We start from the raw sequence: 22,306 nt of genomic DNA on the forward strand, positions 1-22,306 counted from the left end.
TTGAGTTTGTGCTAATGAGATGACTTAGGATGGGTCTCCTAGACAGCCTCAGGCTGGAGCTGGTAACCAGAAAGACCAAGTAATTAGAGAGTTGGGACTTTGAGTCCCCACCCATCATCCCCTTTGAAGGGGAGTGGATAGGCTGGAGATGAAGCTTTATAAAAACTCTGGAACAGTAAGATTTGGTGACCTTCTGGGTTGCTGAACATGTGGAGATGCTGGGAGGGTGGCGGCACCTGCCCCCATCCTTTGCCCTGTACATCTCTTTCATTTGGCTGTTCATCTGTATCCTTTGTAATATCCTTTATAATAAACAATAAATTTAAATGTTTTCCTGACTTCCACAAGCCCTTCTACCAAAGTAATTGAACCTAAGGAGGGGGTAGTAGAAACTCCAGTTTGTAACTGGTTCCTCAGAAGTACAGATGGCAACCTGCTACTTGTGATACTTATGATAGGCATCTGAAGTGGGGAGCCATCTTGTGGGACTGAACCCTTAATCTGTGGGATCCGAGTCTAACTTCAGGTAGGTAGTGTCAGAATTGAATTGAGTTGGAGGACCCCCAGTTGGTGTCTGTTGGGGAAAAATAAAAACAAAAATTCACACATCTGGTCACAGAAGTGGTCTGTGCAGAATGAGAGTAGAGTGAAAGAAGTTTTTTGTTTTTTATTGTTTGTTTTAGAGACAGGGTGTCACTCTGCCACCCAGGCTGGAGTCAGTGACTCCATCATAGCTAACTGCAGCCTCAACCTCCTGGGCTCAAGTGATCCTCCTGCCTCAGCTTCCCAAGTAGCTAGGACTATAGGCATGCACTACCACTCCTGGCTAATTATTTTTATTTTTATTTTTGTAGAGACTGAGTCTCACCATGTTGCCCAGGCTGTTCTCTAACTCCTGGCCTCAAGTGATCGTCCTGGCTAGACCTACCAAAGTCTTGCGATTATAGGTGTGAGCCACTGGGCTGGGCCCTGTTTTTTCTTTTACAAGTGGTTAGCAAATGGCAAACTTTTTTTGTTTGTTTGAGACGGAGTCTCGCTGTGTCGCCCAGGCTGGAGTGCAGTGGCACGATCTCAGCTCACTGCAACCTCCACCTCCTGGGTTCAAGCGATTCTCCTGCCTCAGCCTGCTGAGTAGCTGGGCCTACAGGCGCACACCACCACTCCTGGGTAATTTTTGTATTTTTAGTAGAGATGGAGTTTCACCATGTTGGCCAGGATGGTCTCCATCTCCTGACCTTGTGATCCACCTGCCTCGGCCTCCCAGAGTGCTCGGATTACAGACGTGAGCCACCGTGCCTGGCCCACAAACGTTTTTTAAGATTTGTTTTTCCAAAGGATATTGTATATAGATCCCTGATAGAGAAATCAGAAAAAAGCAAAGTGGTTGCGGTTAAAATAGAAGTAGAAGTTCAGTTGTTTTTAAGCACAGTTTGAAAAACACATAGTTTGGATCCCTACCTTTACAGATGAAATGAAGATTCAGAAAGGTTAAGTAGGTACATTTTCTACCAATTCTGTGAAAGCTTTGTGAGGGTGGCAGTTTTTTCTGTCTCTTGTTCACGTTGTATAATAAGAGCCTAGAACAGTATAGGCAAGTTACAGGTATTCATTAGACATGTATTAAATGAAGTCCATTTTATTTTTGCTAATTCCAACTCTAGATCTCTTCTTAAAACTTTTTGTCTGTTTGTTTATTTATTTATTTATTTTAGAGACAGAATCTCACTCTGTCACCCAAGCTGGAGTACAGTGTTGCCATCATAGCTCACTGCAGCCTTGAACTCCTGGGCTCAAGCAGTCTTCCCACCATGGCTTCCTGAGTAGCTGGGACTATAGGTGTGTGACACCATACCCAGCTAACTTTTAAAAAAAAATTTGTAGAGACTGATCTCAAACTCCTGGCTTCAAGTGATCCTCCCATCTAGACTTCCCAAAGTGCTGGGATTACAGGCATGAGCCACCATGCCCAGCCTAAAGATCTCTTTCTGTTAACAGACTCTAAGAAAATTCTTTTTAGAAACTTTGATGTTTGAGAAGAAAGGAATAGAGAGGCAGAAAACCTAGTCTTCATGATCACTTTTACTTGTTTTCTAGGTGTAACTGCTAGCATGTTTCCTCCACTTATTCGAAGATACAGCTTGACTTGATTTCAAGTCTGTGAAATCTTTCTCTTAAGCTTCCTTCCTTGGTGTTGTATTTCTATCCTTCATTTTTCATTGAGCAATATATGGATTTTTAAAACTATTTGTATTTCCATACCAAGCATTAATTGAATATTTCTTACCTTTTACTCTGCCTTTTGGGATTCCTTCCAAAGCTGAGTCCTCAAACGTAGGAAGACTGACTAAAGTAATAGCCTGGTAATGAACTTGTTGGGAGGTGAGGGGATGGGGCAGTCAGATTTAATAATAAGCTGCTGCTTTTTAATTTTACTTTTAGGAAGCAAATGGTGTTCATTTTCAAATGAAAGTATATTTTAATCCTTCCATATGCCCTTTTCCAGAATGAAACTACAGTTTTATCACTTTAATTGTTAATAATGCAAGAAAGATGAGATAGTAATGGGAATTACTAGAACTCACTATGGAAGATGTAAATAAACATACCATTCATACAGCAGTACTATCGGGTCAGTCACTGGAAACCCTTAAACTTTGAGGGCACATGCAGCATTTAAAATGATATAAATCTCCCTAGTGTATCTCAAATAAGTTCCTTTTGATCAGAGCCACATCAGTGTCTCAGGTTTCTAGTCTCCATTTATAGCTAACCGGAAGCATCAGGTCCTCTCATGAATATACCCCTGTGGTATTAAAGTGACTGTGTCTGAATACATAATTTCCTCCTAAGCTGATTTTTTTTTTTTTTTTTTTTTTTTTTTTTTTTTTTTTTTTTTTTTGAGACTGAGTTTCAGTCTTGTTGACCAGGCTGGAATACAATGGCACAATCTCAGCTCACTGCAACCTCCGCCTCCCGGGTTCAAGCGATTCTCCTGCTCAGCCTCCCGAGTAGCTGGGATTACAGGCATGCGCCACCATGCCTGGCTAATTTTGTATTTTTAGTAGAGACAGGGTTTCACTATATTGATCAGGCTGGTCTTGAACTGCTGACCTCAGATGATCCACCCGCCTTAGCCTCCCAAAGTGCTGGGATTACAGGCGTGAGCCACTGAGCCTGGCTCTAAGCTGATTGATAGATATCTCAAAGATCTTAAAGTAGGCCGAGCATGGTGGCTTACGCCTGTAATCCAAGCACTTTGGGAGGCTGAGGCGGGCGGATCACTTGAGGTCAGGAGTTTGAGACCAGCCTGGACGACAGGATGAAACCCGTCTCTACTAAAAATACAAAAATTAGCCAGGCGTGGTGGCAGGTGCCTGTAATCCCAGCTACTCGGGAGGCTGAGGCAGGAGAATCACTTGAACCTGGGAGGTGGAGGTCGTGGTGAGCCAAGATTGTGCCATTGCACTCCAGCCTGGGGGACAAGAGCGAGACTTCGTCGCAAAAAAAAAAAAAAGATCTTAAAGTATTCACTCCATATGTAAACAAGGGTCTTATATCTGGGTTTAATTTTTATTTTTTATTGCTATATATATTGCTTTAGTTGTTTGCAGTGTCTTTTCACTCCCTTCCTCTCCCCCCAAGTTTCTGGGATTGTAGCAGTAATTAATTTTGTAAACCATATTCATTGCCACCACTAGTATTTCATGTTACTTTATCTTTCCAATTCATCTGTAATTCCTGAAGTATTTTATGCTAAAGGTATTAGAATAATTTTCTTTCCTAGAAATGAGGCATCTTCATTGTCAGCATTGTTAGAAAAGATCATGTTATATATATTCAGCCCTGGAGAAGCTACTATTTTCAATAGGCTGAGCATACTCAGAATTGTCCAGAAGGAGTGGACTAGTGAAAAGGTTGTAGGCTTTGATATAGCCCAAATTTTTGTGGAGAAACTTACTTAACATGCTTCAGAGTATAATAATACCTTTCTTACAGAGTTGTTTATAGAACTACATTTAATAAGGTACTATTTTTAAAGTACTTAGCCCTAGAAGGAGCTTAGCAATTAGAGTCCCTCCCTTCCATTTTCTTCAGAACACCGTTTTATAAATTCTTCAGGTGGCAGAAACCATATGAGTTTTCTTCATCATATGCCCAGTAGTAGCAGCTTGTAATAGGCACTCAGTTAAGTGAACTTGGTTTCCTATTCGTTATTGCTTTTGAAGACTGGCCACTGACAGGAGTCTGTGTGCCAGCTCCCTCTCCCCTTTTTTGTATTTAAGGCTCAATCACTATTTTAGTCTTCTCTTTATTTTCTTCTGCTTTCCAGTCCTCCATCCCTTATGTCCGCAAATGCATTCTTGGAAGGTTTCTGGTAATAGGCCATCTATTTTAGCTAGTTTGCTTATGGAAAGGTAAGTTTAATGGGTTTTAAGTTTTCTAAAATTGTGTGCCAGAAGTCATTTGTAACAGGAACTGAGGAAAAGCAGGATGAAGTAGCGAGAGGGAGTGGTAAAATCATGTCTTGCCTAGCCAGTGGCCAAGTCTTAACTTGTTTTCCTTAGGATTTCTGATTAATGGATATTGTGAAATGAGGTATAAGCCTGGCTTTGGAACCAGCAATGCCTGGCTTCTTTGCTCCTTACCAACGATTTGAATTCGTATGAATTAGTGGGCTTTCATGGCCCTGTTTATTTGTATATAAAAGATGATAGTGATACTTCACAGAATTGTTTGAGAAGCATATCAGATTATATGTAGAAAAGCAAGGTATCTGGCATGTAGTAGATTCTGAACCAATATTGATTTTCTTTTCTTTCTGTATTTTGAGACAGGGCCTCACTTTGTCACCCAGGCTGGAGTGCAGTGATATGATCACAGCTCACTGCAGTCTTGACCTCCCCGGGTTAAGGTGATTCTCCCACTTCAGCCTCCTGAGTAGCTAGGACTACAGGGGCATGCCACTATGCCCAGCTAATTTTTGTATTTTTTGTAGAGATGGGGTTTCACCATGTTGCCCAGGCTCAAGTGATTCTCCTACCTTGGCCTCCCAGAGTGCTGGGATTACAGCGTGAGCCACCATGTGTGGCCTTGGTTGTCTTTTGGCCCCTCACTCATAGCACTCATTGTCGTGGTATCCAAGAAGGATAATTGATGTTGTAGCAGGAATAATCTATACTTAATGCAGTGAGATTTAATCCAGTTGTTTACATAGCCTGTGTCTGTAGGCTCTGTCCGCCAGCGGTGACTGGAACAGTTACCTTCATCCTCAGGTATATTTGCAGTTTATGGAATGTAGGAGAGAAAGAATACAAGAAAACATTTCTCTCAGAGCTTGGGAAGAAGCTCTATAACTGTTATCCTTGCATTATGATAACCTAGGATATCCAGATGTAATCTGAGACTCCTCATTTTTGAAATCACCAAGGTTTGTAATTGCCTATTGCCTTAGGGGTGTGTGGGTGTGCAAGCATGCACATTTTTTATGCCCATTAAAAATCTGTATTTTGGCATTGTTAGTGATACCTTATTGGCAGGGAGAGTATATTAAAATATTCAGTAATCAGTACTGTGTATACTGACCACTAAATGGATACCATCCTTCATACCAGAGCAGGATCCTATAAGCTTTCAGCTGTGCCAGGCATTACTCCTTCAGCTGCGGATTATGAGAAGGTTTGGGCTAGCATGGTGGGGTAAAGCAGGGGAATAGGACCATGGCTATGACTCATTACCAACTGATTCAGAGCTATTTTAACATTTTAACAAAGATAATTGTTAAAATGAATACCTGGGTGCATACTGACTGAATATTGGCCTATTTCTTTGTAATTGAGTGATGAATGAATTCAGTGATTACATTCTTCGATCTGATTCTACCTCAAAGTTAGTATGAATTTATCTTAGTAGGATAAAGGAACTTGTACTTTGCTGACCTTGATGTTTGTGTTCAGATAATGGAAACTGAAATCTGACTTTGATCTGACTGAAAAAAAAAGTTGGAATTCAATTCAGGAAAATATTAATGAAACAACTATTTTTAATATTAAAATGTGTCTCAGGGAGGGGGAATGATCATGCTATTATGGAAATCTCAGGAGTAGTCAAATTAGAGATGTGGTTTTTGTTTTCTCTCTTCATTTTTTTCTTTTTAAACAATAATTGTAGTATGGTGGAAATCATGACTGTTACAATCTTATTCAGGTAACTTGCTTTATTTTTGTGTTTTCCTGTATGTTTATATTACTCATTTATCAATTTTGCACATTTTTACTAGGTTTGGTAACCTTTTTATGTCAAATGTTTTTTTCCCTATAAAATGGCTGTATTGTAATATTAGAATAATCCAATGTTGATGCTTTATTTTCCTTGAAGTTTCTCCAACTTTATATTTATGGTAATATCTCTTAAGTGAGCTCTCAGTACCAGTTAGTCCTGTGGTATTTCCCTGCTCCATTCCCAGTGTCACATGCTCCCCTTTTCCCTCAAATTCTCAGTATCCTGTCTCTCTGCCTCCCTTTCCAATGGTGACCTTACTTATTTTACTAAGAAATTGAAAGCAATCTGACAATCTGAAGATAAAGTATTAATCTTCTGCCACCAAATCTGTCAGTCTTCCTGCATATTATTCTTGTGTTATCTGAGACAAATTCAGATTATTTGGGTACAGAATTCTGTTCCCTCTCTTTTAAGAACTTTGTCCCTCCGATTATCTCATTTACCATCAATTTTGATCTTAAACACCTGAACCTTATTTTATGCAATGCATATGTAATCCTAACAGTTATATATAACTTTTATTTTAGAGACGAGATCTCACTGTGTTGCCTGGGATGGTCTCAAACTCCTAGGCTCAAGTGACCCTCCAACCTCTGCCTCCCAGAGTGCTGGGATTACAGGCATGAACCACCATGCCTGGCCTATAAATTTAATTTACAATTCCTAGCAAATATTTATGTAGCTCCTCTTTACATAACATTTTGTGCTAGATACTCTGGGCATACAAATGTGAATGTTCTCTGCACTCCAGGAGTTCTGTACCCCTCAGTAAAAGAGGAGAGGACTGTCAGCACTGAACATGTGTTTCCTTCATAAGGCCTGTGAGAAGGGTGCCCAGAGTTTTGAAGAGGAAACAATTCTTTTTGGTTAAAGTAATAGGGAATCTTAAGGGAGGAAGTTAGAACTTCAGCTATATCTAAAATGATGGACACATTTTGAATTGTCAGGTAAAAATGCATGAATCAAAGGTAAGGAATTTAAAAAACGTACTCTGAGCAGTGCAGGGGTACAAGGGAGAGAGAGTAATGAAAGAATGGTTTGGGCCCGGTGTGGTGGCTCATGCCTGTAATCCCAGCACTTTGGGAGGCTGAGGTGGGTGGATCACCTGAGGTCAGGAGTTCGAGACCAGCCTGGCCAACGTGGTAAAAACCCATCTCTACTAAAAATACAAAACTAGCTGGGTGTAGTGGCGAGTGCATGTAATCCCAGCTATTTGGGAGGCTGTGGCTGGAGAATTGTTGGAACCCGGGAGGTGGAGGTTGCAGTGAACCGTGATCATGCCATCGCCTGGGCAACAAGAGCTAAACTCCATCTCAAAAAAAAAAAAAAAAAAGAATAGTTTTTACAATTATGTTGGGGCTGCTAATGGAAGTTCCTAGAAATTGTCCTAAGAAGTTTAGACTTCATTTGGATCAAAGAAGAGCCATTAAAGATTGTGTGGTAAGGAATGTTAAAAAGTACTCTGGTGGTGTTAGTAATGAATTAGAGGGAAGTGAAAGTAGAATAAAGGGAAGTCAGGTAGAGAATTTTTCAAACCAAATCGTATTTCATATGCCCTAAAGAGATCCTGTGATTTTTTTTTTTTTTTTTTTTTGGTACAGGGACTAGACTTGCATGAAATATTTGTTTTATAAATTTTAATTTTCATGTTAGGTTTTCTTAAAGCAAGAGAATCAGTTTTCCTTTGGTGAGAATCTGGTGTCTGAAAGGAGGTTATGCTACTGAGACAGATATGTCCTGGGGGTAGATCTTGTGATAATTTAGTCCTGCTAAGGAGGGCATACATGCTTATAGAAAATCATAGGCTGTATCTTGCTGGCACATGATATATCAGTCAGGCTGACCAGCTGAGCAGCTCCATTGAAAATATTATAGACCATTTGTTAAAAATATTTTATTTCTTCATTCAGATTGGTACCAGTGAGTAGATAATGTGTCAGAATCATCTGTTTCCCTCTTTTATTTGACATAGTTCACTTGAAGCTAAGAATATAAAATTCTTTCAGAGATTATATAAAAACTGAATTTTTTTGTTTTGTTTGTTTTTGTTTTGACACAGGGTCTCACTCTGTCACCCAAGCTGGAGCGATCACTGCTCACTGCAACCTCGATCTCCTGGGGTCAGGTGATCCTCCCACCTCAGCCTCTTGAGTAGCTGGGACTACAGGTGTGCGCCACTACACCTATCTAATTTTATGTAATTTTTGTAGAGATGGAGTTTCACTCTGTTGTCCAGGCTGGTCTTGAACTCCTGGACTCAAGCAGTCTGCTGCCTCAGCCTCCCAAAGTGCTGGGATTACAAGCACGTCTGGCCATTTTTTTAGTTTTTTCTTTCTTTCTTTGTTTTTTTTTTTTTTTTTTTGAGACGGAGTCTTGTTCTGTCGCCCAGACTGGAGTGCAGTGGTGCAATCTCGGCTCACTGCAAGCTCCGCCTCCCAGCTTCACACCATTCTCCTGCCTCAGCCTCCCAAGCAGCTGGGACAACAGGCGCCCGCCACCACGCCCAGCTAATTTTTTTTTTTTTTTTTTGGATTTTTAGTAGAGATGGTGTTTCACTGTGTTAGCCAGGATGGTCTCGATCTGACCTCGTGATCCGCCCGTCTCAGCCTCCCAAAGTGCTGGGATTACAGGCGTGAGCCACGGCACCCAGCCTGTTATTTTTATTATTTTATTTTATTTATTTTTTTGAGACAGGGTCTCACTCTGTCACCCAGGCTGGAGTGCAGTGGTGCAATCTTGGCTCACTGCGGCCTCAATCTCCTGGGCTGAAGCAAGCCTAGCACCTCAGCCTCCCAAGTTACTGGGACTACAGGCACAAACCACCACACCTGCGTAATTTTTTATTTCATGTTTGTAGAGATGAAGTCTTACTATGTTGCCTGGGCTGGTCTCAAACTCCTGGACTCAAGCAATCCCCCTGCCTCAGCCTCCCAAAGTGCTGGGATCACAGGTGTGAGCCACCGCACCCAGCCTGTTTTAGTTTTTCAGTGATTATTTGATGCTTATGTAAGGCATTGTATTGGGCAATTTGGGGAGTGCAATAATCAAATTAATTTATTCTAAGATGCTTTTTTTTTTTTTTTTTACATTTTTTACCTCTGAAATTGGGGTGCATTTTAGAATCAGTGGAATTCTAAACTTGCTTTCCATAAAGTGAAATCATAATATAGTTGTGTGAGAATCTGCCATTGATACCTGATGTGGTAGGCTGAATAATGGGTTCCCCAGCTATGTCCATGTCCTAATCCCTGAAACCTTTGCAGCAGTGATTAAGTTAAGGATCTTGAGATGGGGTTTTCCTGGAACTTGGTAGGCCTGATACAATCACAGCAGTTCTTATTAGAGAGACACAGGACAAGTCAGAGCCAGCAGCGAAGGAAATGTGAAGACAGAAGCAGAAGTTAGAGTGATGTGCTTTGGAGATGGAAGGGGCCACAAGCCAAGGAATACCAGTGGCCACTAGAAGCTGGAAAAGGCAAGGAAACGGATTGTCTCTTCAGAGTGTCCAAAGGGAACCAGCCCTGTCCCTTGACACTTTGTAGCCCAGTGAAACTGATTTTGGACCTCTGACCTCCAGAACTCTAAGAGAATAAATTTGTGTTGTTGTAAACACTGACTTTGTTGTACTTTGTTATAGTAGCAGCAGGAACCTAATACACCTGTGAAGATAAATAGTGGCAGTATCAAAACACACCTTAGATATAATGAAATACGATAGATTTTCATTTCTTTTTGTTAAAAACACTTTTCTTATACGTGAACAGGGTAAAAAGTGTAACACGCCAAAGCAGAAAAAAGACCTGTTTTTGTATTATGGTATAAATTATTTTACATAGTGAAAGCTTTTAAAGTTTCATGTTCTTTGTGTTTAAGTAGCATGTAGTATTCCTTATTGATACATTGTGATAAGTGCCTGATACAGAAATACTTGATGATTATTTACTAGGCTTCATTTTATAAAAATACAGTAATAGTTTCCATCAGCCAGCCATTACACTAAGCTTTGGGGGATAGGATAGAGCTAAGAGCAAACTAGACTGAATTTTTTCACTTGCAGAATTTACAATTAGACAATTACAGTTCCATGTGAAAAGTTCTGTCATAAGGGTCCAAAATACTGTGGAAGCAATATTATATAATGGCATGCATTCACTTGTAGGATTAGAGAATGTTTTCCTAGAGAAGAGCTGAGCTGAGATCTGAAGAATAAGTTAAGAATTGGTCAGGTGAAGCAGAAGAGGGTATTTTGGAAGGTTCCATATACAGGGAAAAGCCTATCTGAAGATTGAGAGGTGAAGAAGCATGGCTTGAAAAAAATTTAGCATGATAAGGATGTGTGTAGAACAGTGATTCTCAGCCTTTTCATACTCATGGCTACTTTAGTGCTAAAATTTTTGGTGGCATTCTTAAAGGAATTACACTTTGAACACTTGTATTAAAAAAAAAGTTTCAAAAAAGGTATCACATACTCACTTGATCCCCTTCAGAAGCCTCTAAAAGACAGCTTAAAGTAAAACTGTCTTCTGCCCTGATGAACCTCTTTTAGGGCCTCTTGAGGTGAAACTCAAGCATACAATCTTAGTTGATGTTGTACTGTGGCTTCTTTGCTTTTTTGTGGCAAACAGTATTTTTTTCCCACCAGCTCAGCATTCTATTTGACTTCACCATATCAGTAAGCATCTTAAGTGTAGCAAAATTAAATTTTATTTATTGATCAAATGTTGGCAGAGGCATGTGGAAGACTACTAGTATACTAGTATATTAAGGCATACCTCTTGAAAATTATTGTATGAAGAGGTGGTGAGTGATAAAGCAGGAGTGGTAAGCAGAGGTCAGATGATGGAGAGTCTTTGCATTGTTTTCTATTTACTGCTGTAACAAATGACCACAAATTGGTGGCTTCAAACAACATGAATTTATCACCTATAGGTTAGAAGTCCACCTGAGCTAAAACCAAGGCATCTACAGGGCTGCATTCCCTTCTAGAGAATCTAAGGGAGAATTAATTTCTTGCCTTTGTCAGCTAGCTTCTGGATGCTGCCCACATTCCTTGGTCCATGGCCCACTTTCTCCATGTTCAAAGCCAGCAACATTGCATCTGTCTGAGAATTCTTCTGTAGTCACATCTCCCTCTGACTCTCTTCTACCTCTGCTTTTCTGCTCTTAAGGATGTTTGTGATTATATTGGTCTCACCTGGGTAATCAAGAATCTATTTTAAGGTCAGTTGATTAACATTCTTAATACCATGTGCAACCTTAATTCCCCTTTGCCAGGTAATCTAACATATTCACAAGTTTCAGAGATTAGGATATGGACATATGTTTTATTGGTCATGTTAAATAATTTGAATTTTTTTTTTTATGGCAAGGTAAACCATTAGAAGGCATCAAACCAGGGAGTAACAATATCAGATCTGCTTTTTAGGAAAATCACTCTGGCTACGTTTGGTGTGTCATACAATTTAATAGGTCATTTCCAGTACCTTTTTCTACTGATGTATTAAAAACTTTATTTTGCAATAATTTTAGACTTACAGAAGTGTTGCAAAGATATACAGAAAGTGCAGTACCCTTCAGTCAGCTTCCTCTAACAATAACTTATGAAACTTTTTTTTTTTTGAGCCTCCCAGGTTCAAGCGATTCTCCTGCCTCAGCCTCCCAAGTAGCTGAGACTACAGGCACTTGCCACCACGCCTGGCTAATTTTTGCGTTTTTGTATTTTCAGTAGAGATGGGGTTTCGCCATGTTGGTCAGGCTGTTCTCGAACTCCTGACCTGCCCACCTCAGCCTCCCAAAGTGCTGGGATTACAGGCATGAGGCACTGTGCCCAGCCTGTCTTCCGAAACTTTGGTACATTTATCAAAACCAGGAAATTAACATTGGTGAAATAAAATTAACTGCAAATTTTACTGATGTTTCACCAGTTTTTACATGAATGTCTTTTTTTCTGTTTCAGGATTTAATTCAGGATATCATGTTGCATTTAGTTGTCATGTCTCATTAGCCTGTAGTCTGACAGTTTCTTAGTCTTGTCTTTTTTTTTTTTTTCCAATGACTTCCTCGTTTTTGAAGAGTACTGATTGGGTATTTTGTAGACAGTTCCTCACTTTGAGTTTGCTGATGCTTTCTCATGATTAGATTGTGTGTATGAATTTTTCGTAAGAATACCACACAGGTGAAGTATGCTTCTTATTGAGTCATTTCAGGGTTTACGTGATACCAGCTTGTTTTATTACTGATCATGTTAACCTTGGGCACTTGGTTAAGAGGGTTGTCTTAGCTAGGTTGCTATATTGAAACATCATTGACTGAGGCTTAAACAATAGACATTTCTTTTCTTCTTTGAGGCAGTGTCTCACTGTCACCTGGGTTGGAGTATAGTGGCTCAATCATGGTTCACTGAAGCCTTGACCTCCCAGGCTCAAGCAATCCTCCCACCTCAGCCTCCCAAGTAGCTGGGACTACAGGCACGTGCCACCATGCCTGGCTAATTTTTCTTTTTTTTTTTTTTTTGTAGAGACGGGATTTCACCATGTTGCCCAAGCTAGTCTTGAACTCCTGGACCCAAGCAATCTGCCCGCCTCGGCCTCCCAAATTGCTGGGAGTACAGGTGTGTGCCACTACGCCCAGACATTTATTTTCACAACAGTTCTGGAGGCTGGAAGTTTGAGAGAGTGTCAGCATGGTCATATTCTAATGAGGGCCCTCTATCCACCTTGTCACTGTGTGCTCACATGGCCTTTTCTTGGTATGTGCACGTAGAGAGATCTCTCTCTTCTTTTTATAAGGGCACTCCTTCTCTCATGGTGGTCCTGCCTTCATGACCTAATGTAAACCTGATTACCTCCCAAAGGCCCCACCTCCTAACACCATCACATTGGGCCTCAGCATAGTTTTGGAGGGACATAAACATTGAGTCCATAATAGAGGGATGTCTACGAGGTTCTTCCTCTGTGAGGTTATTTTTTCCTTTTCATGGTCTGTTTATTAGGAGTGATTCACTTAACTCCAGCCTACTTTGAAAAGAAAGAGAAGCTGGATGCAGTGGCTCACACCTGTAATCTCAGCACTTTGGGAGGCCGAAGCAGGAAGATTACTTGAGGCCAGGAGTTCGAGACCAGCCTGGCTAACATAGACCTTGTTTCTACAAACAAAGTAAAATTATTACCAGGGTGTGGTTGCACTCACCTGTAGTCCCAGCTACTCTGGAGGCTGAGATGGGAGGTTCACTTGAGCCCAGGGCTTCAAGGTTACAGTGAACTATGATCATACCTTTGTAGTCCAGACTGGGTGACAGAGCAAGACCCTGTCTCTTAAAAATGTAGGGAAAAAAGGGAATTAAACTCTACCTGCTGCAGTGAGGTATACCAAATGATTTGTGGGCTTATGTTCAAATCACCACAGTAATTAAGAAATATTCTTTGGGAGATACTTTGAAGTTATTCTACCATTCTCTTTCTTCTCAAAATTTCACTCACAGCCAGGCGCGGTGGCTCACACCTATAATCCCAATACTTTGGGAGGCAGAGGCGGGTGGATGATGAGTTCAGGAGTTCAAGACCAGCCTGGCCAGGATGGTGAAACCCCATCTCTACTAAAAATACAAAAATTAGCTGGACGCAGTGGCAGGCACCTGTAATCCCAGCTACTTGGGAGGCTGAGGCAGGAGAATTGCTTGAACCCAGGGGGTGGAGGTTGCAGTGAGCCAAGATCACGCCACTGCACTCCAACCTGGGTGACAGAGTGAGACTCATCTCAAAAAAAAAAAAAAAAAAATTTACTCACTAATTTTAGCATGTCACTCATGAGTTTTGCTTACTCTCACCTGCATCAATTACTACTGTGCAATTCTTTTTTTTTTTTTTTTTTTTAAAGAGCCAGAGTCTTCCTCTTGCTCAGGCTGGAGTACACTGGCTATTCACAGTTGTAGTCCCACTACTGATTAGCATGGGAATTTTGATTTCCTTAATTTCCTATTTCTGCCAGTTCACCTCTCCTTAGGTAACCTGGTGGTCCCCTGCTCCTGGAAGGTCACCATATTGATGTCAAACTTAGTGTAGACACCCAATCAGCATAACACATTACAGCCCAGAACTCATGGGCTTAAGGGATCCTCTCACTTCAGCCTTCCCAGTAGCTGGGATTACAAATATTTGCCACAGCACCAGCTACTGTGGATTTCTAATGGTAATTTCCTCTTTCCCTGTTTCTTATAAGGGAGATTTGCCCATTTAATCCCATTTTAAAATTTATTCAATCATTTGTGTATGTTATTATAAACTCACAAATATTTATTTTATTATTTGGGCTATAATCCAATGCTGTATATAGAGAGGGAGACAGGGTCTTGCTCCATTGCCTAGGCTGGAGTGCAGTGGTACAGTCATGGCTTGCTGCATCCCTAACCTTCTGGGCTCAAGCGATCCTCTCAAGTAGCTGGTGTCATCTGCCTTGCTAATTTTTTTTTTTTTTTTTTAAAGAAATGGAGTCTCGCTGTGTTGCCCAGGCTGGTCTCAACCTCCTGCCCTCAAGCAATCCTCCTACCTTGACTCCCAAAGTGCCAATACTATTGATACTTACTTTTGTTGCTCAGATTATTGCAGCTGTGGCCATTGAGAGCTCTTTCAAGTTGGCTTCTGTATCCTTTTCCCCCAATCTTTTTGTTGTTTGGCCACTTCCTTACTTTCTGACACTACAAGTTACTCTATCTTGTACTTGCCTTATCCCAGTACCAAAATCAGCCCTATGTCCAAGGGACTCTGGTTTCTTTTATTGGAGGATGATATTTAGAAACCAAGAACTGGGTGTTGGATATGCTTATTACTACGGGTGTGTCACTGCTTCAGGCTCTGAAAGTCGACAGAGCTATGAAATGTGAGTATGTATATGTATATGCTAACCCATCTATAATTATTTTTGTGTCTATCTGTATCTGTATTACCTAAACATCATTCAGTTAGGTTATCATACATTTGTAATACAGTTAGACTGATCTGTCACAGTCTGTATTCTAGCCTAGGTTTTCTTGATATCCTGGTTGATTTTTAAAGAAAATTTACCTATAGTATATTTCCTTTCATTCTTTGTAGAGTACAGCTGTATAGGTTTAGATAAACATATGTAATCATGTATCTATTATGCCACTGCAGTACCATCTGGAACAGTTCCATCACCATGAAAAAAAAAAAAAGTTCTTATAGTCAGTACCTCTCACCAGCCCCTGGCAGCCATTGCTCTGTTCTCTATCCTTGTTATTCTGAATGTCATGTAAACGGAACCATATAATATGTAGCCTTTTGGGTCTGGCTCCTTTTGCTTAGCTACATTCATCCATGCTACTGCACAAATTGATATTCTGTTCCTTGTTATTGCTAAGTAGTATTCTGTTGTATGTGTATACCATGATTATTTGTCCCTTCCTCTGTTATCAGACATCTTGGTTGTTTCCAGTGTTTGGTAGTTATAAAAAAAGCTACCATAAACATTCATGTACTGGCTTCTGTGTGAACGCAAGTTTGCAGCTCACTTAGGTAAATAACTACAGTGGGACTGTTGGGTTACATAGTAAATATATACTTAAGTTTATAACAAATTGCCAGATTATTTTTCAGGGTGGCTATACTAGTATGTATTCCCTCCAACAATGAGTGAATGTTTCTCTTGCACCACATCTTTGCCAGCATTTGATATTTTCGGTTTTTGATAGTGTCTTGTTGTAATTTAATTTGTATTTTCCTAATAACTAATGATGAGCATCTTCTCATGTATATTTTACATTCTTACATCTTTTGTGGTGATTATCTTTTCAGATGTTTTACCAATTTTTGGTTGGGTTGTCTATTTTTTTAGTTGAGTTTTAAGAGTTCTTAGTGTATTCTGGATACAAGTTTTTTATTGAGTATCTGATTTGCAAACATTTTCTTTCTGTGTTATTCTTTTAATTTTCCTGAACATTTTCATGACTGTGTCTTATTTTTATTTTATTTTATTTTTTTAGACAGATATCGGGGGAACCCGCCTCCAATAATTCAACGTTATTTCACGTAGGTTCTTTTCTGTTTCCCTAAGTGTCAGCTGGTCTGAGAAATAAAGGGAAAGAGTACAAAAGAGAGAAATTTTAAAGCTGGGTATCTGGGGGAGACATCACATGTCGGCAGGTTCTGTGATGCCCCCTGAACCCTAAAACCAGCAAGTTTTTATTAGCAATTTTCAAAGGGGAGGGAGTGTACTAATAGGATGTGGGTCACAGAGATCCCATGCTTTAAGGGCAACAAAAGATCACAAGGCAGAAGATCAGGGTGAGATCTCAAGGTCAGGGCAAAACTAGAATCACTAATGAACTTCCATGTCCCGCTGTGCATGCATTGTCATTTATAAACATCTTAACATGGTTCAAGAGCAGAGAACCAGTCTGACTAGAATTCACCAGGCTGGAATTTCCTAATCCTAGCAAGCCTGGGGGTGCTGCTGGAGGCCAGGGCATGTTTCATCCCTTATCTGCAACTGCATAAGGCAGACATTCCTAGGGTGGCCATTTTAGGCCCCCCCCCCCCCCCCCCCGAATGGCTGTTAATTATTAATATTCCTTACTGGGGAAAGAATTCAGCGATATTTCTCTTACCCGTGTTCGGTAATAAGAGAAATATGGCTCTGCCTGCCTGGCCCACAGGCAGCCAGACTTTAAGGTTATCTCCCTTGTTCCTGAAAATCGCTGTTATCCTGTTCTTAAGGTGCCCAGATTTCATATTGTTTAAACACATATGCTCTACAAACAATTTGTGCAGTTAACGCAGTCATCACAGGGTCCTGAGGCGACATACATCCTCAGCTTACGAAGATGAAAGGATTAAGAGGGCATAGGAAATTAAGAGTATTGATTGCGGAAGTGATAAATGTCTATGAGATCTTCACAATTTATATTCTTCTGTCACGGCTTCAGCAGGTCCTGCCGTTCGGTATCCCTGACTTCCCGCAACAGACGGAGTTTCGCTCTTGTCCCCCAGGCTGGAGTGCAATGGCGTGATCTCAGCTCACTGCAACCTCCACCTCCTGGGTTCAAGTGATTCTCCTGCCTCAGCCTCCCAAATAGCTGGGATTACAGGCATGCGCCACCACACCCGTTTAATTTTTGTATTTTTAGTAGAGACAGGGTTTCTCCATGTTGCCCAGGCTGGTCTCGAACTCCTGACCTCAGGCACACCTGGCCAACTGTGTCTTATCTGTCTTTAATCCTTAGCTCCTTTCACAGAGCAAACTTTTTTTTTCATTTTGGTAAAGTCAAGTTTCTCAATATTTTATGTTGCTGACTATGCTTTGAGTATCATAGGTAATGTTGAGGCTCAGAAAATGAAACCTCAGGCTGGGTGCAGTAGCTCTCGCCTATAATCCCAGTACTTAGGGAGGCCGAGGCAGGAGGATTGCCTGAGCCCAGGAGTTCAAGACCAGCCTGGCCAACATGATGAAACCCTGTCTCTACTAAACATGCAAAAATTAGCCAGGTATGGTGGTGGGTGCCTGTATTCCCAACTACTAGGGAAAGTAAGGCAGGAGAATCACTTGAACCCTCAGGTGGAGATTGGGGTGAGCTGAGATCGCACCACTGCACTCCAGCCTGGGTGACAGAGCAAGATTCTGTCTCCAAAAAAAAAAAAAGAAAGAAAAATAAAACAAAACTCCAAAATGAAGGCCTCAGAAGTAGCCTCAGAAGCAAAAGTTTTTCTCTGACTTTCTGTTGCCTGCCTGTCTCTCAGTCCCGTTCTCCCCTGAGGCTAGCCTTAGAAACCAGATTCCCTCTTCCCCAAGGCAGGTCATAGAAACTGGAACCTTTTTTCCCCAAAGCAAGCCACAAAACCTAAAAATATTATTCTAACTTTCCCTCTGTCCTATGTGTAAAAACTGGCCTTAAAGAAATTATCTCACCTACATTGTTTGAATGTAGGTCATAAGACCCCTATTCCAGAGAGGGTCCTGCCCCATAAGCAGAAAGAAAGAATGTGTGCTCAGGCCAAGAAGAATCTAAACAGATAGGCCTTCCTGGGTTTCCCCATTCAGTCTGTTCACATTAGATTATAGCCTTTTTATCCAATTATACTTCTGCATGGCTGTCCGTACTTTGTTGAACCTAAGGATAAAAATGGACAGTTTCCTCTATCTTTGGGTCTACACGTTAAATAAATTTGTATGTCTTTTATCCTGTTAATCTGCCTTTTGCAAGTTGATTTTTCAGCACACCTTCAGAGGGCCAAGGGGAGCTGCCCCTTTGGCCTCTGTAGTAAGAATTCATTGTCAATCCCAGATTCCCTTCAAAAATCCATATTTTCTCTTAAGTGTTTAATTTACAATGAGATTTAGGATTCTTTTTTTTTTTGGGATGGAGTTTCACTTTTGTCGCCCAGGCTGGTGTGTGGTGGTGCGATCTTGGCTTACTCCAAGCTCCGCCTCCCAGGTTCAAGCGAGTCTCCTGCCTCAGCCCTCCCGAGTAGCTGAGATTTCAGGCATGCACCACCATGCCCGGCTAATTTTGTAGAGATGGGGTTTCACCATGTTGGCTAGGCTGGTCTCCAACCCCTGACCTCAGGTAATCCGCCCACCTAGGCCTCCCAAAATGCTGGGATTACAGGCATGAGCCACCACACCCGGCCTGTGATTCATTTTGACTTAATTTTTGTTTAAGACCAGAGGTATATGTTGAGGTTCTTTTCTTTTTTTCACATGTAGATATCTAGTTATTCCAGCACCATTTGTTGAAAGAACTATCTTTCCTCAATTGCATTGCCTTGGCACCTTTGTCAAAAATCAGTTGACTGTATTTTTATGGGTCTGTTTCTAGACTGTTGCATTCTGTGTATCTGTCCTTTCACCAATACCACACTTCTTAAATTGTTGTAACCTATAAAGTAAGCCTTAAAATTGGGTAATGTGAGTCTTCCAACTTTGTTCCTTTTCAGTTTTTCTTTGTTTTTAGTAACTTTGTATTACTATAGAAATTTTAGAATCCGCTTGTTGATATCTACAAAAAAAACCTGCTGGTGTTGTTTATTATGATTGCATTGAATCTAAAGATCAAAATTGAGATAAGTTACATCATAATATCAAGTCTTCTAATCCATGAACACAGTATGTCATTCCATTTCTTTAAATCCTTGCTTCTTTTCATCAGCGTTTTGTAGTTTTCTTTATATAGGTTCTGAACATATTTCATTAGATTTACATCTAAGTACTTCTTTTTGTGCTATTATAAATGATACTGTTTTTTAAAATCTTAATTCCCCTTGTTTACTACTGATCTTTAGAGACATAATTGATTCTTGTATATTGACCTTATATTCTATGACCTTGATAAACTCACTTATTAATTCCAGGCATTTTTTGGAAGATTTTTTTGGGATTTTCTACTTAGTCATGTCATTCTGCAAATAAAGACAGGTTTTTTTTGTTTTTTTTTTTTTTTTTTTACTCCTTTCCAGTCTATCTACTATTTATTTATTTTTCTTGCCTCACTGAAGGGGCTGTTACATCTTGTACATTATTGAATAGGAATGATGAGAGAGGACATCTTGCCTTCCATGTAATCAATGTTAGGACGAAAGCAGTCTGTCTGTCCCTTACCATTAAGTATGGTTTGCTATAGGTTTTTAGTAGATAGTCCTTATCAGGTTAAGAAAGTTTCTTTCTCTTCCTAGTTTATTGAGAGTTTTTATCATGAATGGATGCCAAGTTTTATCTAATGCATTTTCTGTATCTATTGATGTGATTATGTGGCTTTTTCTTAAGTCTGTTAATATGTTGAATCACATTGAATGTATTTCAAATGGTCAGTCAGCCTTGTATTCCTAATATGAACCCCATTTGGTCATAATGTATTTTACTTTCAATATATTGTTGTTTTCTATTTGCTGAAGTTTTGTTCAATGGTAGAGCTCACAGCTAAGTTAAACAAATACTTTTCCTGAAGATAACATTTATACTTCAGTGTGCAATAAAAGTGCTTTATGTTTCACAGAGACCATCATTTTTAATCTAATAAAATTATGTGTGAGTGCATGGTGGTGAAGAATATAGTAACTGCTAGTATTGCTTGGTGCCATTGCTTCAGTTTGTGCCCCAGGGTTCACATTGCAGCCATCATTGCTTTTGTATCATTAGTATAATTGTCAACACAGTGAAAAAGGCAAATATCATCTTAGTACTGTTATGAAAATAGTTTTTACTCATGGATTTTCCCCAAAGAGTTTCTGGCACTGCTGGAGTTTTGTATACTACACTTTGAGAATTTCTGTTCTATATCTTTATTAATGTCTTAGGACTGCTGAAACAAATGGCCACAAAGTAGGTAGCTTAAAACAACATAAATGTATTTTTCTGCAGTTATGAAGTCTAGAAGTCTGAAATTAAGGTGTTGGCAGGTCTACTTCTTAGTCCATTTTGTGCTACTATGACAGAATGCCTGAGACTGTCTAGTTTATAATGAACAGAAATTTACTTCTCACAATTCTGGAGGCTGGGAAATCCAAGATCAGGTGCCAGCACCTGGCTAGGGCCTTCTTGCTGTGTCATAACATGGCAGAAAACATCACGTGGCAGAAGGGCAAAGGTGAGGGCAGAGAAAAGGGGACCAAACTTGCCCTTTTATATCAATCTCACTTCTGTGATAGTGGCATTAATGCATTCATAAGGGCACAGCCTCTTAATACCGTTACAATGGCAATGAAATTTCAAGATGAGTTTTGGAGGAGCAAACATTTAAACCATAGCAGTCATGCTCCTTCTGTAGGCTCATAGGGGAGTAATATGTTCATTGACTCTTCCTACTTGTCTCACTGTTGGCATTCCTTGGCTTGTGGCTACATCACTCTGTGCTCCAACTTCACATTGCCTTCTCTCTGTTTATGTGTATGTCTTTTCTTCTGTATGTATATTTTATAAAGATACATGTGATTGCATTTAGAACCCACTCAAATAATCCAAGAGAGGCTCCTCTTCCCCAGATCTTTAACCTAAGCATGTCTTTTGTCATTTAAGGCAATAATCACACTTTTCCATGTAATTTTCACAGGATTGGGGGGATTAGGATGTGTACATAATCTTTTAGCGGGCCACTCTTTAGCCCACTACATGCTTTACTGATTATTACAAGTGTTAGACTGCTATGTGTTGTCCCACAGGTCTCTCGAATTTTGTTCATTTTTCTTCAGCCTTTTTTTTTTCTCTATGTTTCTTAGATCATTTTCTTAACCAATCTTCAAGGTTGGTCAACTTAATCAAGGTTCATTAAGTCTTCTGCCATACTGTAGAGACCATTTAGCATATTTATTTGTTTTATTTTGAATATTTTTTAAATAGTTTTCATTTCTCTCGATATCCCTTGTCTGTTCATTTACTGGTAACATTTTCCCCCAATTTTTGGAATATATTTTCTTTTCATTTTTGGAATAGATTTATAAAGACTTTGCAGTCTCTGCCAAATTTGGCTTCTGGGCCCACTTTGATTCTGATCTCTACCTCCCTTATTGCTGGGCATCCTGACATCTCCCACTTCTGCACAGTTAAGCTGCCAACTAGAGACTTGACCCAACAATTGCAACTGGTAGGAAGTTATTTTTAGTAAAGTGAATGAACACAAAAATTACCTACAGATCTATTTATTAGGTGGTTTATGTTAAAAAAATGAAAACCTAAATGGCAGATAGAAAATTGATTAAAATATGGTAAATTCATGTAATGGAATACTATTCAGACATTAAAAATAATGATGGAAAGATATTCAAATCATGCTAAATGAAGGAATCATTTAAAAGATACATTATAATCCCACTTTTGCTTAACTAAATTATACATATATATGCAAAAAGAAAATACTGGGTGGATATACATCAGAATGTTAGCAGGTTATCTCGGGAAGATTAAGATGATTTTTATTTGATCACTTTCTGTATTTTTTTTTTTTACAATGACTGTATCACATTTGTGATAAGAAAAGTACTTCTGAAGTTATTTTTCAGAAATTTTACTATATATGTAACAAATT

The 22,306-nt window shown here is 39.8% G+C and overlaps 1 protein-coding gene and 1 pseudogene across 18 annotated transcripts in view, besides 2 other annotated features; one reads left to right on the forward strand and one right to left on the reverse strand.

Moving 5' to 3' along the window:
• Positions 1–22,306, forward strand: part of SEC24B (SEC24 homolog B, COPII component) — a 107,082-nt gene that overhangs the window by 2,806 nt on the left and 81,970 nt on the right. For 4 of the 18 annotated variants that reach the window (XM_047449517.1, XM_047449518.1, XM_047449520.1 and 1 more), the window contains exon 1: positions 12,803–12,889. The exons of 6 other annotated variants lie outside the window; for them this stretch is intronic. Coding sequence is in view for 7 of the 12 variants with exons in the window: in NM_001300813.3 (NP_001287742.1) it covers positions 12,797–12,889 (93 nt within the window). In the remaining 5 variants the exon portion in view is untranslated. Of the gene's footprint in view, positions 1–12,796; positions 13,028–15,008; positions 15,154–22,306 lie in introns of those variants that run through there. 8 more of the 18 variants (XM_011531537.4, XM_047449515.1, XM_047449516.1 and 5 more) reach the window with 5 other exon arrangements.
• Positions 14,152–14,448, reverse strand: RN7SL55P (RNA, 7SL, cytoplasmic 55, pseudogene; annotated as a pseudogene).
• Positions 16,357–16,937: an enhancer, noted in NCBI's record as "OCT4-NANOG hESC enhancer chr4:110374133-110374713 (GRCh37/hg19 assembly coordinates)". NCBI's record gives its function as "activates a minimal SCP1, AML or CMV promoter by ChIP-STARR-seq in primed H9 embryonic stem cells {active_cell/tissue: H9 hESC(primed)}" and the evidence as "EXISTENCE:reporter gene assay evidence [ECO:0000049][PMID:30033119]".
• Positions 17,493–17,662: an enhancer, noted in NCBI's record as "experimental_71781 CRE fragment used in MPRA reporter constructs". NCBI's record gives its function as "activates a minimal promoter by MPRAs in K562 erythroleukemia cells, with activity observed for both the introgressed and non-introgressed 4:110375354 variant alleles {active_cell/tissue: K562}" and the evidence as "EXISTENCE:reporter gene assay evidence [ECO:0000049][PMID:34662402]".

Source organism: Homo sapiens, chromosome 4 (assembly GCF_000001405.40).
Source record: "Homo sapiens chromosome 4, GRCh38.p14 Primary Assembly".
In the NCBI taxonomy this organism is placed as follows: domain Eukaryota; kingdom Metazoa; phylum Chordata; class Mammalia; order Primates; family Hominidae; genus Homo; species Homo sapiens.